Source organism: Homo sapiens, chromosome 5 (assembly GCF_000001405.40).
Source record: "Homo sapiens chromosome 5, GRCh38.p14 Primary Assembly".
NCBI classification, from domain to species: Eukaryota; Metazoa; Chordata; class Mammalia; order Primates; family Hominidae; genus Homo; species Homo sapiens.
Window position 1 is genome coordinate 58,698,285 of NC_000005.10, and position 16,700 is coordinate 58,714,984.

Sequence of the window (16,700 nt, forward strand, 5' to 3'; positions counted from 1 at the left end):
GAGAGATCAGCTGTTAGTATGATGGGCTTCCCTTTGAGGGTAACCTGACCTTTCTCTCTGGCTGCACTTAACACTTTTTCCTTCATTTCAACCTTGGTGAATCTGAAAATTTTGTGTCTTGGGGTTGCTCTTCTCGAGGAGTATCTTTGTGGTGTTCACTGTATTTCCTGAATTTGAATGTTGGCTTTGCTTGCTAGGTTGGGGAAGTTCTCCTGGATAATGCCCTGAAGTGTGTTTTCCAACTTGGTTCCATTTTCCCCATCACTTTCAGGTCCACAATCAAACGTAGATTTGGTCTTTTCACATAGTCCCATATTTCTTGGAGGCTTTGTTGATTTCTTTTTACTCTTTTTTCTCTAAACTTCTCTTTTCACTTTATTTCATTAATTTGATCTTCAATCACTGATACCCTTTCTTCCACTTGATCAAGTTGGCTATTGAAGCTTGTGCATGCATCACGAAGTTCTCATGCCATGGTTTTCAGCTCCATCAGGTCATTTAAGGTCTTCTCTACACTGTTTATTCTAGTTAGCCATTCGCCTAATCTTTTTTCAATGTGTTTAACTTCCTTGTGATGGGTTCGAGCATCCTCCTTTAGCTCGGAGAAGTTTGTTATTACCAACCTTCTGAAGCCTACTTCTCTCAGCTCGTCAAAGTCATTCTCCATCCAGCTTTATTCCGTTGCTCACAAGGAGCTGCGATCCTTTGGAGGAGAAGAGGCGCTCCGATTTTTAGTATTTTCAGCTTTTCTGCTCTGGTTTTTCCCCATCTTTGTGGTTTTATCTATCTTTGGTCTTTGATGTTGGTGACCTACACATGGGGTTTTGGTGTAGATGACCTTTTTGTTGATGTCGATGCTATTCCTTTCTGTTTGTTAGTTTTCCTTATAACAGTCAGGTTCCTCAGCTGCAGGTCTGTTGGAGTTTGCTGGAGTTCCACTCCAGACCCTGTTTGCCTGGGTAGCATCAGCAGAGGCTGCAGAACAGCAAATATTGCAGAACAGCAAATATTGCAGAACAGCAAATATTGCTGCCTGATCCTTCCTCTGGAAGCTTCGTCCCAGAGGAGCAGCCACCTATATGAGGTTTCTGTCAACCCCTACTGGGAGGTGTCCTCCAGTTAGGCTACATGGGGGTCAGGGACCCACTTGAGGAAGCAGTCTGTCTATTCTTAACGCTCAAACGCCATGCTGGGAGAGCCACTGCTCTCTTCAGAGCTGTCAGACAGGGAAGTTTATGTCTGCAGAAGTTGTCTGCTGCCTTTTGTTCACCTATGCCCTGCCCATACAGGTGTTGTCTGGAGGCAGTAGGCCTTGTTGAGCTAAGGTGGGCTCCACCCAGTTAGAGCTTCCCTGCTGCTTTGTTTACCTACTCAAGCCTCAGCTATGGCAGACACCCCTCCCCCAACCAGGCTGCTGCCTTGCCGTTCAGTCTCAGATTGCTGTGCTAGCAGTGAGCAAGGCCCCATGGGCATGGGACCCACCAAGCCAGTCACGGGAGAGAATCACCTTGTCTGCCGGTTTCTAAGATCTTGGGAAAAGCGCAGTATTTAGGCAGGAGTGTCCCATTTTTCCAAGTAGTTTGTCACTGCTTCCCTTGGCTAGGAAAGGGAAATCCCCTGACCCCGTGTGCTTCCTGGGTGAGGCGATGCCATGCCCTGCTTTGGCTCACCCTCTGTGGGCTGCACCCACTCTCCAGCCAGTCCCAATGAGATGAACCAGGCACCTCAGTTGGAAATGCAGAAATCACCCATCTTCTCTGTAGATCATGCTGGGAGCTGCAGACCAGAGCTGTTCCTATTCAGTTATCTTGGAACGCCCCCAATCTGTTCAGTTTTTGAATTAAATTGAAAGGTAGACCCCATCTATACAATTTTTAAATGAGTCAGCATGGTGCATGACACGTGGTAGTAAGTGCTCAGGAAATGTTTTATGAATATTATCTTACAAGTTAATTAAATACTTTAAAAGACAAAAGCAGTGCTTTACATGTGTTTCATATGATTTAGTTTTATGAAACTTCCAGGTAATATTAAAATCCAAAGCATCCTGATTCTCTACATGTTCACGTTCTGTGATGAGGGGGATGGCGAGAAGCAAAGAATGCATTTTGTGTGTGTGCATGATATTAATTCCATGAACTAAGTTTGAATTCTATTCAAATACTGAATAGGTAACATCCAGTTTAAGACTTTTATTTCTGTTTAGAAACACAATTAACTTATGGATCTAATGGATAAGCTTGAGAATGTCCTCCCAACTCAGAGCCCTAAGGTGTTTATCTGCAAAGCAAAAATAACATTCATTGTGTGTTCCCTTGCAAAGTTTGTCTAAGATCAAGTGAGGTGATAATGTGATTGTAGTTTATGAACCACTTTGCAAAACATCATCATTATTTCCCTGTGAAGTTTTTTAATATGATTATTTGATGCATAGGTGTGTATATAAAATATGTAACATGTATTTAAAAATAGATATTCCTGTCTGTTCCAGTTGGCTAGGAAATCGACTCGAGGTCTTGAACCATTTCACAATCATGCTACTGAGGAAAAAAATTGAGAGCACTTGGTTTGGTGAGCCTGGCAAGAAAAAATGCTATGGTAACATTGTCATTAATTCCTCCTTTATGGATAGACCTCCAAATAGTTGAAAGGAGGTAGCTTTTGAGGTACTCCAGCTTAAAAATCTTTTATTTATTTATTTATTTATTTATTTATTTATTTATTTATTTGAGATGGACTCTCACCCTGTCACCCAGGCTGGAGTGCAGTGGTGTGATCTGGGCTCACTGCAAGCTCCGCCTCCCAAGTTCACAACATTCTCCCGCCTCAGCCCCCAGAGTAGCTGGGACTGCAGGCACCCGCCACCATGCCCAGCTAATTTTTTGATTTTGTATTTTCAGTAGAGATGGGGTTTCACCATGTTAGCCAGGATGGTCTCGATCTCCTGACCTCATGATCCACCCGCCTTGGCCTCCCAAGGTGCTGGAATTACAGGCGTGAGCTACTGCGCCCGGCCTAGTTCATTTTTTAATCACATTCTAAATTCTGTTATTCTTCAGGTGTTATCAATTTTACCTTTGAAATGCCTTCAGAATCTTTCTCATTCTGAAGATGAGTTTCCTTTCCAATTATAGTTTAGTTTACTTATCTCTCCCAGGATATTGCAATTGCCTCTCTTTATTTTTAAGCTTCTAGCTTCCTGGTAGCAAATCCATTCCCATTGAACATGTATTTGTTTCCTACTACTGTAACAAATTACCAAAAATTTAGTGGCTTGAAACCACAAAAATGTATTATCTTACAGTTCTGGAAGTCAGAAGTCCAAAATGGGTCTTCAGGGCTGTGTTCCTTCTGCAAACTGTAGGGGAGAATCCACTTCCTTGCCTTCTCCGGCATTCAGAGGCCACCTGCATTCCTGGGCTCATGGCCCCTTCCTCTACCTTCATAGCCAACAAGATAGCACCTCATCAAATCTCTTTCTCACCTTTTCTTTTGTTTTCACCTCTTCTCTGACTCTCCTGCCTCCTCCTTTCCCTTATAAAAACCTTTGTGATTACATTGAGCCCACCCAGAAATTATAGGATAATCCCCTCATTGTGAGATCATTAATTTAATCATACCTATGAAATTCCTTTGGCCATGTAAAGTAATATTCACAGGTTTGGAGATTGGAAAGTAGACCCCTTGGAGAGCCATCATTCAGAACTCAAGTGATGTCTTTTAGTAAGATGCAAATCTGGTCCTGCCATTTTCCTGCATGGAGCACTCATGACTTCCCAGGCCTCGGCAACAGCTTCAAATTTTTCTGATCTCAACCTACAATTAAAAATATATATTTTACATCATTATCTAATTTACACACACACTCACACACATGAAAATCTTCACAAAATTTGGCACTTACTCTTATGTGTAATTCACTTTCATAATTTCTGTTATAGCCTATTAATTTGTAAAATGCTGTCCGTGACCCATTTCACAGAGTTTCTGGCCTGTTAGTGGGTTTCAAACCACAGTTTAAACATCATATAGGCTGTGTGTGCTTCATCCATGCAAACTACTTTTAGATCCCAAACAGGCTGTTTTCTTTCATGCCTCATGCACTTTAGGCTATTCTTGCCCTACAAAGCTTACATGCCATTTCTGCTGACAGGCTCAACACAAAACATTACTTTCTTTAGAAAGACTCCATTGATTTCCTCCAGGCACCTGCACACCTACGTCTTGCCAGCCTCCCGTATTGTCTCTGTTATAGCACTTGCCAGGTAGTCTCTCATTCTCCTTTCTCTCTCTCTCTTTCTTTTTCTTTCTCTCTCTCCTGCACACACACATCCTTCTCTTTCTCCTCCTCTTCCATCTCCTTCTTCTGCCTTCCTCCTTCCTTTCCTGTTTTCCTCCCTTTCTCCTTTTCTTTTTATTTCATTCTAAAAGAAAGATAATAAGAGATACAATAGCCTTTGTAGAAAAATTTGAAAATACAGAAGAATAAACAGAAAGCTAAACCTACCTCTAAACAAACCCTCCAGAGAGAACTAATAATATTTACACATTTTCAGTTAATCTTTTTGATATCTAAATCTACACACTTTACTGAACAGAAATAGGTTCATGCTGTAAAATTTTGGAACCTGTTGGGATGGACTTGACGTTAACCTGGATAGTGAGTATAAGTTATAACCAGCAATTTTTGACGGAAAAATACAAGGCAACCTATATATTGGTTTAATGAATATTCAGGATATATAGTAATTAAAGATGACTTCCATGAAAAGAAATGTAAATAACGTTTAATAAAATAAGTAAGGAATTCTTCCAAAATTATACGTGGCAACCAAAATTATATTTGGCAGCCAAATTTGGACTCTCCTGATGAATAAGATCTTGTTTATTCTTTTTTTTTGTTTGTTTTGTTTTTGAGACGGAATTTCGTTCTTGTTGCCCAGGCTGGAGTGCAATGGTGTGATCTCGGCTCACCGCAAACTCTGCCTCCTGGATTCAAGCGATTTTCCTGCTTCAGCCTCGCAAGTAGCTGGGATTACAGGCATGTGCCACCACAGCCACCTAATTTTGTATTTTTTGTAGAGATGGGGTTTCTCCGTGTTAGTGAGGCTGGTCTTGAACTCCCGACCTCAGCTGATCCGCCTGCCTTGGCCTCCCAAAGCGCTGGAATTACAGGCATGAGCCACCGCGTCTGGCCATGTTTATTCTTTTGTAATCATATTTCTGATGAAAAACAAGTTTTTATTTGGAATTATTATTGTGCCTTAATACCCTATTAAGACAGTTTACCAGGGACGAAACCAGAATTTGGAGAAATTGTTTTACTTTTTTCAAGCTACTAGTCCATTCTCAAAGTGAGGTCCACCGTGCAACTACATGAGAATCACTTTGAGGGCTACTAAAAGCTCAGATTCCCATGCTTACCCTGTCCTACTGAATATGTCTTTAATCATGGAGCCCAGGAATGTCCCCCTTTTAACAAATTTTGATGCGTAATAAAATTTGAGCATCACTACACTAAACTTATAAAACTGTAAAAATCAATGTTCTAAACAGCTATTTGGGAGCACTAATAGTTTGTGTTAATGTAAATTCTCCCTAGAAATCAGTTCCTTTAAAAAGGCTTAACCTCAGGAGTCTTTAGAACCAAACGAGACCTTAAAATATGTAATTTAATCACATCTTTGTGCAAATGAGGAAACTAAAAAGATGAAATGACCTCTCACAAGTCACTGAGCAGGTTTGTAGAAGAATTGAACCTTTTACCCAGAAAGAATCTCTGATTCCAAGTCCTAAGCCCTCTTCCCTATTCCAGACTGGAGCAAACTTTACTATATCTGCTGGCTTACCTATTTTAAGCCACTATTTCATCACAGTAAATGCCACTTTAATCTTTGCTTATTTACTTTCTAATGACAAATCCTGAAATCAATTTCTTTATAAAAACGCATTTTGGTGTGTGAAGAGAAACATTCCTGGCTTTAATGTAATTATGAAAACTACAGAGCCATGAAATCTCCTTTGCTAACTGCATACTGCTTGGAGTTTGCATGTAATTTGTGGTTCATAATGCTCAAGTTTGCCTGCTGGTGTACTCAGATAAGAGGAAGCAGCTAGACTTCCAAATTAAAGGACTCTGATAGAATAAACTGCATCAATATCTCTATTTCCTGAAAAGGAAAAAATTCTGCTTGTTTAGTGAGGTGAAAAGTAATCTAAATAGCTGAATATAATCGCAAACAGAATTCTTGAAAGTACTGAGAATTTTTTAGTAAAGATACACAAAAGAAATGCTATACAAATGATCTGTGCTGAATGTATCTGGGGTTGAGATTCTATTCCATTTCAGAACAACAGTCATTAAAAGGTCATAAAAAACATGATAAGCAGGTAAAATGACTTTTCCTTTATCTGAATTATTTTGGTTGCCATATTTTCAGAAGTTTAAAGGGGTGCTAGCTTTTTCTTTCTTTCTTTTTTAAAAAATTTCTGTATCTTTTATTCATTCTCTGTTTGAACATTTAGTTCCAGTTTGAGTTAGGGGTGGTGATCTTATAGCTAAACACCAGAAAGGCTGATTCTTGTTCACCATTAGTTAGCACAATAAGAAACTCAAGTTATCAAATCAGAGAGCACTTTCAGCATTAACTATTAATAATTGTATGAGTTTCCTTTTACTTTAAAATTTATGAATGGTAGATTCAAAGTGAGTGATAATGCAATGTTATATTCAGAGACAATTTCACTGAAGCAAACAGGATAATAATTTATTATTTTTAAATATCACTATGATAATTTTTTTCCTGGATCTTTGATAATTTTTTTAACCATCTGGTTATTTATGACATCACATTATATGTAACACTAAAGGAAGGTAGAAAGATACTTCTTCAGTGAATCTCTGCTTTCAACATACTTTTAGAATAAACAACTAGTAGAATAACTATACATCTGGTATTTTTTAAGTTCGTATTTATAAGTAGGCAAAGCAACCTTTACCTTCAGGAAGAAAACAGCTTCTCACAAGCGAATTCCATTGCACCAATTGGAAAGAAGTGCCCAGTCCAAATGTGAACTAGATTCTTCTGTCTTATGGTCAGGAGTTTTGCAATACTGTTATTAAGTGACATTATTGAAAATCTACAAATAATTGGCTTTCTTTTATGAATTCTTAAAAAATTTTGATGACAAATTTTGCATTATGGTATTTGGATTTGCTATTTATTAGGAAAGGAGTTAAGAGGTACTTGAATTCAGAATCCAAGATAAACATGTGTTTCAGTAAATATTAATAAGGTTAAAGAGAAATTTTCTTTTGAGGGAGAATATAAGTCTCTTGCAACTGTGTTTATGGAATAGAAGTAGATGATGCCCACATTTTTTTATTGAAAGGACTCCTTGGTTACAATGACTTGTTCCCAAGCACTTTTGTCTTCCCCCTACCCACTTGCACTCTCTCTCCCTCTCTTCATCCCTCCCTCTGTCTTTCTTTAGAAAGGAGCCCTTTGCTTCCTAACCTTATTTAACTTGTTTCTGGAAATGAAGCAAATTAAATTTTACTCATTAATGTGCTTATGCCTGGAGTATCCATCTTCTTATGATGGGAGATAAGGCTGCACTTGATCCTGTGTTGCCCAGTCCACCACCCCTTACTTTCATATTGCTCCTAGTACCCTTGCAGTTCATTTAATCTTAGGAGATACTGGATATTACATTTTTGGTACATCCAGTTGATGTTTTTCTGATGGTTTGAAAGTTACTTGAGATGAATTTTTAAAAATGCAAATAAAAATAATCAAGTACAAACAACCACTGGGTGATCTAGGAGTTAGTGTAAAGGAGATGGCAAGTACAGAAACTTTTGTTGTTGTTGCTTAGGAATAGTTTATGGTGGCCATGTTGAATGATAAGCTTTACTATCCCACTAATTGAGAACTGAGATCCATCAGTTACAGCTACAAGTTGTAGGACAGTAGCATCGGAAGTCAGAGTTTGAGCACCTCTGGATAAGCATTTTTTTCGGTGGCCACCTTGGGCATTCGTCTCAAATTCATATCTTTATTTAGAAATAAGTGGCTAGTCTCCCTCATGGACACACTGAAATTTATAGGATAGGAAAAGCAGAAAAGCAGTAACAACAGACTTATTGGAAGAAAAGGTAGAGTTGTAATATAATGAGAATATATCCATTTATACATTGTTGGTTTTAGAATATCTCTCCTTAGAAGTTTTCATCTAGGATTAAAATAAAGTATCTCTAACATTCGAGCTTCTTATCTTTCCACAGACTTGCAGTAACTTATCTACTTATTTGTATTGATTAATAATGTTAGCCTTCCAATACCTCATTTTTGCAACCTTGATACCATCTGCAACTTGTCTCTTGTGTTCTTGTGGTTGTGTAATCTAACCTCTTACAGAATGCACAACTCTCTTCTACAACATCCTTAATGTTGTTCATTCTTAACATTCTTATGTTCAAACATCTCCTGTGATAAAGTACTCACCAATTTCTAATGCAGCCCATTTTTATTAGTTTCTATCTTGAGTCAAAATCTATACATATCCAATCATTTTTACCGTTGAGACAAAGGGTTTTCATCCCGTTGCCAAAGCCAGTTTGGAGAAAAGCCCAGACAACATTTTAGTCATCCTTTGCCTGCTTTTCTTTCCATGACAGTTTCCAGTTTTTATTTACTTGTCTCAATTTGTTGTTCGATTGCCTTGGACATTCCATATTGAAGTGGGTCCTCTGGCAGAAGTTTTAAAGCTCATTGTTTTTTGCTTGTCAACTTTAAGCAAATTGGAAGGCCATAGCAGTAATCTTATTTCCATTTCTGGAAAAAAGATGATATTTGAGCAAAGAATGACAACCTGTATCTTCACTCCTTGTAAAATACAATTTTATTCAAATAAGAGAGATTAACAGTAGTTTGTAATCACACCTTTTTTAAAAAGGACATCCAAAAATTAGATATCATACATAACATTTGGATAATTCTATAGAGATATAATAAACCCAAATCATGAACATGAAATATGTTGATGTATAAAACATTGCACATGAAAAAGAAACTTAGAAATAAAGAAAGAGCAGCTAGGAGTTATAACAGCTGACAGGTGTTGCATGCTTCCTGTGTCTGAGGTCCTATTCTAACCAAGTTACCTGTGTTAGCTCATTTGATTTTCATAGCAACCTTAGGTTTCCAGAGAAACTCATTTTACAGTTGAGAAAACTGGGGTACAGAAAGGTTGATTGATTTGCCCAACATCACACAGCCAGTAAGGAGTGGAGCCAGAATGTGAACACAGGTCATCCAGCCCTAGAATTCCTGCTCTTAACAATTATCCCACGTTGATCAGACTGCCAGCATCAGAATGACCAAGGGTGCTTGGAGAAGGTACACATTCCCAGACTCAGCTGCCAAATCTACTAAGGGAGAACTTCTGAGAGGAGCACTATGTTAAATTGCCAAATGTAATTTATAAATAAATTCATTAGAAGGAATAGGTCTCCTAAAACTTCCCTGAAAATGAATGATAGGGAAACTCTTCACTCTATTTTTCCCCCCAGCCAGCTCTGTGCTTTACTAGGATTCATTGCTTGGTTCCAAAAGAGAAGAAACCCTGCCCCGCCTGGGCATGTTCTACAGCAGCTTGCAACCATCTTTGGGTACTAAGAATCATCCCTTATCTTTCTTTCCTTTTTTTTTTTTTTCTTTTTGAGACAGGGTCTCTCTGTGTTGCCCAGGCTGGAATGCAGTGGTACAATCACAGCTCACTGTAGCCTCAAACTCCTGGGTTTAAGCGATCCTCCCACCTTAGCCTCCCAAGTTGCTGAGACCATAGGTGCACACCCCCACACCTGGCTAATTTGTTTACATTTTGTAGAGAAAGGTCTTGCGATGTTGCCCAGGCTGGTCTCAAACTCCTGGGCTCAAGTGATCCTCTAGCCTCGGGCTCCCAAAGTGCTAGGATTACAGGCATAAGCCACCATGCCTGGCCCATTCCTTCATCCTTCTATGAACGATGATGGATCTGGGCAAATCTAGCATTACACCCTTGCCCATCTGCCTGCTCTCACATTTGTGAAATAATTCACCAGGCTGAGCATGTAGCTGGGCTGCTTGGAGCAGAGGGAAGAACACACAGGGATCAGACCCTGACCTTATTAGCACGGCATGATCATCATGCCTGGCATAATCCAGACAGAGTGGCACCCAGCTGGAGAAGTTTCTGTCTTTCCTGTAGGAGAAGGATCAGTAGAGGCCAGTGCATCTGCTCCCTGACTCTGCTACCAAGCAATTCAAGCAGTAGAGTCTGTTTACAGGGTAAGAAAAATACATTTGTCTGGCACACAATCCCTGAAAGAACTTTTTGCATTGAAATAGGAATTTGAATTATAGTCAGACTACTAATTCCCTTTCAGGTTTCTCATGCCAACAGTCATGTTGTCAGTGAAATTTAAATGTGGGAAAAATGCTTTTATGGACTGCCAGATTGTTTGGCAAATGATTTAGGTCTACTTGGTTTATTTGTGAAGCAGTGATTTTTGTTAACTGCAAAATAATATGAAAATAAAGAATTAAATTTTGCTGTATACATGGGTTTTATTTCTCCAACAATAACATTCTTAGTCCTACCTCGTCTTTCTTCTTAAATTTAAAATGTCAATGTACAGATGTATGCTATATAGCATATACTTGCTTGTCTGCTTTCTTTTTCACACATAAATCAATATAGGTCCTTTCTCATTTGTGGCTTTTTACTCTTATTTTCTGTTGATCTGGAAATAATATGGTTGGTTCATGTGTAATAACTTCTGGAAATTTGTTTTCTCTGCCTTAGCAGAGAAATTAACCCCTAAAGAGAATTCATATTGAATACATTCTGTAGATGTTATTCTATATTTAAATTGTGTCAAGTTGTAATAAGAGTTTGGCCTTAATTTTACATGTTGTTGTCTTTTGGCATTTCAGTCAAATTTTATCATTTTCAAAAGCAGCACCCAAAGTGACAGTGTTAAAGTGGCCCTGGGTGCCCATGGGACTCACCCTCTGTACACCACCCAGGCCCTTCTACCTTCCAGAGGGGTAGCACCTCCTCCACAGAGGCGAGTCCACAATTCACAGTCCAGTCCTCAAACTGAGATGTCTGCCTTTCTAGCTTCTTAATCCTTGCAGCTAATGATCAGGCCGCAGTTCTCCCCAATAAATTCCAGTTCTGTTTTGAATGAAGATGTATAAAATGAAAAAAGCCATTTCCCATGCTGTATGCTCTATCAGAAAGACTTCTATCCTCAGAATTGGTAGGAAGTCACTCTTCAGACTTCTGAGGTTTATCAAGCCTGGCCCGTAATTGTTGTTGAATTGTTTTCCATAGGTGCATCTCTCAATCCTTTCGTCTTCTTTGTAGCTGGCCTCTGACCCACGCCTCTGATTTCATGTCCTCCAATTATGGATCCGAGCGCCAGTCTCATTGGTGTCTGATCAGAACTGAACGGAAAAGAATTACTTTAACAGCAATTGAAGCCATTTCTGGATGATTTCAACATATCCAAAAAACAAGTCATTGAAAAGCCAGGGTTTCTCTCTAATTAGCTGTGTGATGGTGAAGCCTCATTTGCTGTTATCATTGATCTTAGGAGGCCGTGGGTAACTTTGTGCCTTGTAAAGTTTGATATTGTATAATCTCATACAGAAATGTGAGGTCACTAAATTCACACATGAAAGTACACTAGGCTGTCTGAGGCCTTGGTCTGAGTGTCATCATTTCCCAAATGCCAGACAAATAGGCTTAATATTTTTTACCAAGTTAACCACTTGTGAGACAGTACTGGCCCACTCAAAATTGCTTTTGATGTTTAGATACTCCATTTGAATGTACTATCATCCCACTATGGTTTTAGAATTATTTAAGATGAAATATTATTTTAAAAGCAACTAATAAGTAAATTGGACCCACTTATAAAGAGAAATGTATATCATTATTAATAGTAGTACTATTTCAGGTCAAATCAAGAAGCTTTTCCAGGCCGGGCGTGGTGGCTCACACCTATAATCCCAGCACTTCGGGAGGCCAAGGTGGGAGGATCATTTGAGGTCAGGAGTTCGAGACCAGCCTGGCCAACATTGCGAAACCCCATTTCTACTAAAAATACAAAAATTAGCCCAGCATGGTGGCACACGCCTGTAATCTCAGCTACTCAAGAGGCTGAGGCAGGAGAATTGCCTGAGTCTGGGAGGCGGAGGTTGCAGTGAGCCGAGATCACGCCACTGCACTCTAGCCTGGGCAAAAGAGCAAGACTCTGTCTCAAAATAAATAAATAAATAAATAAATAAATAAATAAATAAATAAATAGAAATTTTAAAAAAGAGAAGCTTTTCCAACGTTGACACCCTTTCTCTGGTATCTTCTCCCTGGCTTTCCCCTGCTCTTCCGAGAGGCAGCCATTTTATCCTCCTGTTTCATATCTGTTGCACAGCCAGCTATGTGCTCGCTCTCTCTATGGCGTACATGATGAGATGCTGCAGCAGCTTCTAGTTCTCTAGCATCTGATTTCTACATTTTCATTTCCCTTTTTCTTTCTATCTATTTTAGGGAGTTCATCACCAGACATAATACTTACTGATTCTTGTCACTCAAAGTAATGTGAGATGCGGGAATCTGCTTTAATCTTGGAACACTCATATAATTCACTAGGCCCTTTGTTTCCATGAGGATCAAAGCAATCATAAAAATAAGAATGTGCAGAAGACCTTAAAGAAATCAGCAAGCATAATCAGATGATAGTCATGAAAAGAATTTAATTGCGTATTTCATCTTTGCATTCTGTTCTCCTTTTATGTAAGGAGGCATGGAGAGCGAAAAGGAGAGCATGTGAATTCTGGCTGATCCTGAAGGACAAATATCTTTATTTTCTCTTCTCCCCTGGGAGTGGGATGAGCAAGAAACAATGTTCCACTGTGCAATCCAGTTTTGTCTTAACAGACACTTTCTACTGGGATCTGACAGGCTCGCTTCGATTTTTTACTCATTAACATGATCAATAATGATGATGCTGCCTCTAGCATATTACACTTTACAGAGAACTTTTCTCATTTATGGCTTGCAGTTCAACTCACTATTAGGTATTGATTTCATTTTGGAAATCAGGAAACATGCACAGAGAGGTTAGATGATATTTCTGAAGATACCCTGCTTGTGAGTCTTAGAGCCAGGGTAGGAACCCAGGTGTTCTAACTCCAAAGCCCTTTCTTTGTGCCACACATTGCTATTACTGAATAAAAAAGCAGAGGGAGTCTCATTTATTGAGCACCTAGTATGCACAAGAAGCATTACATACGTTAATTCTCACAGTAATCTTGAGAAGATAGATGATATCATCATTATTTTAGCTAGAAAGCAAGAACTCAAAGGGGTTTAATTACTTGCCCAGGGTCATATAACTGATACCATGTCAAATATTACATTTTCTTTCCTCCATTACAGATTGTGGATCCTCCTCTGGAATACACAAGAATTTGTTCTTGGTACCTTCCCTCCAACCCCACCATCCCCTCGGATACTATAGTTTTAAAGATAGGGAGGGTGTGATCATCATACTGTGCATGTGCAGTGCCTGGTGAATTTTTCAATGCCAAACAGAAGCCTCTGCAATACCTGAATATTGTTTCAGTTCTTACAATGTAAAAATGGTAGAAAATGCACAAAAGATGAACATCAGTGTCAGCCTTTTTGCCATGATTGTGATTTTCGTGTGGTAACAAACACCCCTCAGCCCATCAAAATCTACCCATCACTGGAAACCTGCACCAACCGTCCCCGTTCCTGGAGCTTACTTCAGCTTACATTGATTTGTTTTTTCTCTGATTTCTCTAGTACTTACGTCATACTATAAACACTTCACACACAACCAGGCTCTCAGATTGCTTTGTGTGCTTCATTTTGCCAGTTTATGGGAAATAGAAATTTTCTGATTTCTAGGTTGTATCTCGTAGATGTTTACTTTGTATTTTTCTCAGTACCCCACACAATGCTAGGTATATAGATATTTAATGTTTGGTTGGTTTTCATTAAGAAGTTAGGTTAAGAATATTGATTAAATAACATAATTTTTGCTTTGTATCAATTTTGAGTCCAAACATCAATTTCACCTAGGCACTAAATTGTTTGGGATAAGTTAATAACTAGTTTTATTCTTGGTTTAAAACTGTCTACAAAAAAAAGAATAGCCATTTGATAGATTTTTTTTTCTCGAGACAGAGTCTGGCTCTATCACCCAGGCTGGAGTTCAGTGGAGCGATCTTGGCTCACTTCAACCTCTGCCTCCCGGGTTCAAGCGATTCTCCTACCTCAGCCTCCCAAGTAGCTGGGATTACAGGCATGTGCCATGATGCCCGGCTAATTTTTGTATTTTTAGTAGAGACAGGGTTTCACCATGTTAGCTAGGCTGATCTCGAACTTCTAACCTCCAGTGATCCACCCATCTCAGCCTCCCAAAGTGCTGGGATTATAGGCATAAGCCACCATGCCTGACCTAGAATATTTTTGTTTTTATTTTTATTTTTGAAGATATATGTGGATTCTCTTGAACATGAAAACACAAGGTCAAATGGGTGAGAGGAGTGTAGTCAATGAAGAAGACAAAGATAAGAAAACATAGGTACAGGCTGGGAAACATGGCCAAATTCTGACATGAAGGGATCAAAAACAAAAGAATAAACACACATACTAAGTATAAATGTAAATATAAAATTGGATAGGGATCTTGGAGCCAAATAAAAAGTAGCCTAAGAAATTTGGACTTTATTCTATGGCCAGTAGGAAGACATAGACTGTTTTTGAACAGGAGTGAGTGGTGGTACAGATGGTGATGGAGGTAGTGGGGTCATCTCTAAACTTCAATACCTCAGGGGCCAGTCAACAACATAAAGACAGCCAGATAAGAGTACAAAAGTGGCAGCTGCTACTAGTTGTAGTCCTCCATGGCCACACAGCAATGCAGGAACCATTTTTACCATCTTTTGAAATTTTTCAAAACAAATTAGAAATCTGGGCTTTTGTGTAAAAAATTTACATTTTAAAATGTTAGCTTAAGGAATTTTAAACACGACGTTAATCAAACAGGCCACTTCTGTGAGGCAGATACCAGCCTGTGATCTTGACCTACATGAGTGACACAATCACTTTTCAAAATAGTTAACTAGAGAAAGCTGGTCAGAATCAGGGCAAGAACTGCACATGGCAGAGAAATATTCTTATTTTAGAGGCAGACTCACTGGTTTTATTTTAAAATGAACATGTTTACAGTGTGTAAATCAGCTGAGCTTTAGAACTTTTGCAAACATTCAACTCTTTAGAATTGACAATGGTAATATAACAAGAATCTTTAAAATACATCAGAAATTAAGAACTTGCTTTATAAACCCTCACCTGACTTTAAACATAAATTAAACAGGTGCTAGAGGACTTTTGAGACAATAATTAACCAAGTATTCATTGATAAAACACAGGCATAAACCAGGACATTCTTGGGCAAACTAGGACGTATGGTTACCCTATCTACTTACATATAGTTGGAATTCTAAAATAAACACATTTTTAAAATGAGGTTAAAGTAGCTTGAAGGGTTAATAACTGAAATTTTCTTCTAGAATTGTTATAAGATAATAATCCTCAAAATTGGGAAGCACAGTTATTCCCCCAGCAGCACATGTAAAAAGAATGTAAATGTAGCCACATCACAGTGAAACTACAGAATACCAAAGATGAAAAGAAGCTCCTAAAAGTAGCTTCAGAGTAATGATAGTTCATATGTTGGGGACAAATGGAAAAGAGCCTAAGAAACTTGGACTTTATTTCCTAGCCAATAGGAAGACATAGCATGGTTTTGAACAAGAGGTGAATGGTAGTATGGATGGTGATGGAAGTCATGAGGTCTTTATCACAATAAAGATAGTGATTAAAATGGAACAATAATTAGATTTACAGCAGACTTTTCAATGGTATCAACTAAAGCCTGAAGACAATGGAATGATGTGGTAAAGTGAAGATAGACTATAACTAGAATTATATACCCAGCTAAACATTATTCATAAGTAAGGGTTAAACAAAAATATATTTGGACATACAAAAGAAGTATTTATTACCGGCAGACCTTCCCCAATGGGATTTCTAAAAAAATGCACTTCAAAAACATGAAAGGAGGATTTGAGATACAAGAAAAACTTGTGAGCAGAGAAACTGGAAAACATGTGGATAAATACAAATAAATAATGTCTGTGTTAAAAAGTGTCTGACTTAGGGAGTAAAAAATCAAGGTAGTTTAAAATATAAAACATTGTACAACATTATGATTTATGATAGGAATGGATGACTGAAAAATTGAATTTTGGAGAATGAAGTTAAAGATATTGCTTGTTTTTTTTAAATATAAATTTCTACATTTTCATAATCACTTTATTATAGGCATAACTTCCAAATTAATAAAGAGATGAATGAGATTAGACAAAATAGAAAATTTTCAACCAAAGAGAAAGCAGGATATGAAAAAAAGAAACATAACATAATCAGACCAAATGTCATAGAACAAGATAGTAAATATACAAATAAATATAGTGGTTATTATAGAAAATATTAGTGGGCCAATTTCTTGATAAAAGGATTCTGATCCACTGTATCAAAAATACTATGAGAAA

General features: G+C 38.2%; 1 protein-coding gene across 2 annotated transcripts in view, besides 1 other annotated feature; it reads left to right on the plus strand.

Annotated features, from left to right (window-relative positions):
• Positions 1-16,700, plus strand: part of RAB3C (RAB3C, member RAS oncogene family) — a 277,243-nt gene that overhangs the window by 116,133 nt on the left and 144,410 nt on the right. The window lies entirely within an intron of this gene.
• Positions 7,269-7,438: an enhancer, noted in NCBI's record as "experimental_86593 CRE fragment used in MPRA reporter constructs". NCBI's record gives its function as "activates a minimal promoter by MPRAs in K562 erythroleukemia cells, with activity observed for the introgressed 5:58001465 variant allele {active_cell/tissue: K562}" and the evidence as "EXISTENCE:reporter gene assay evidence [ECO:0000049][PMID:34662402]".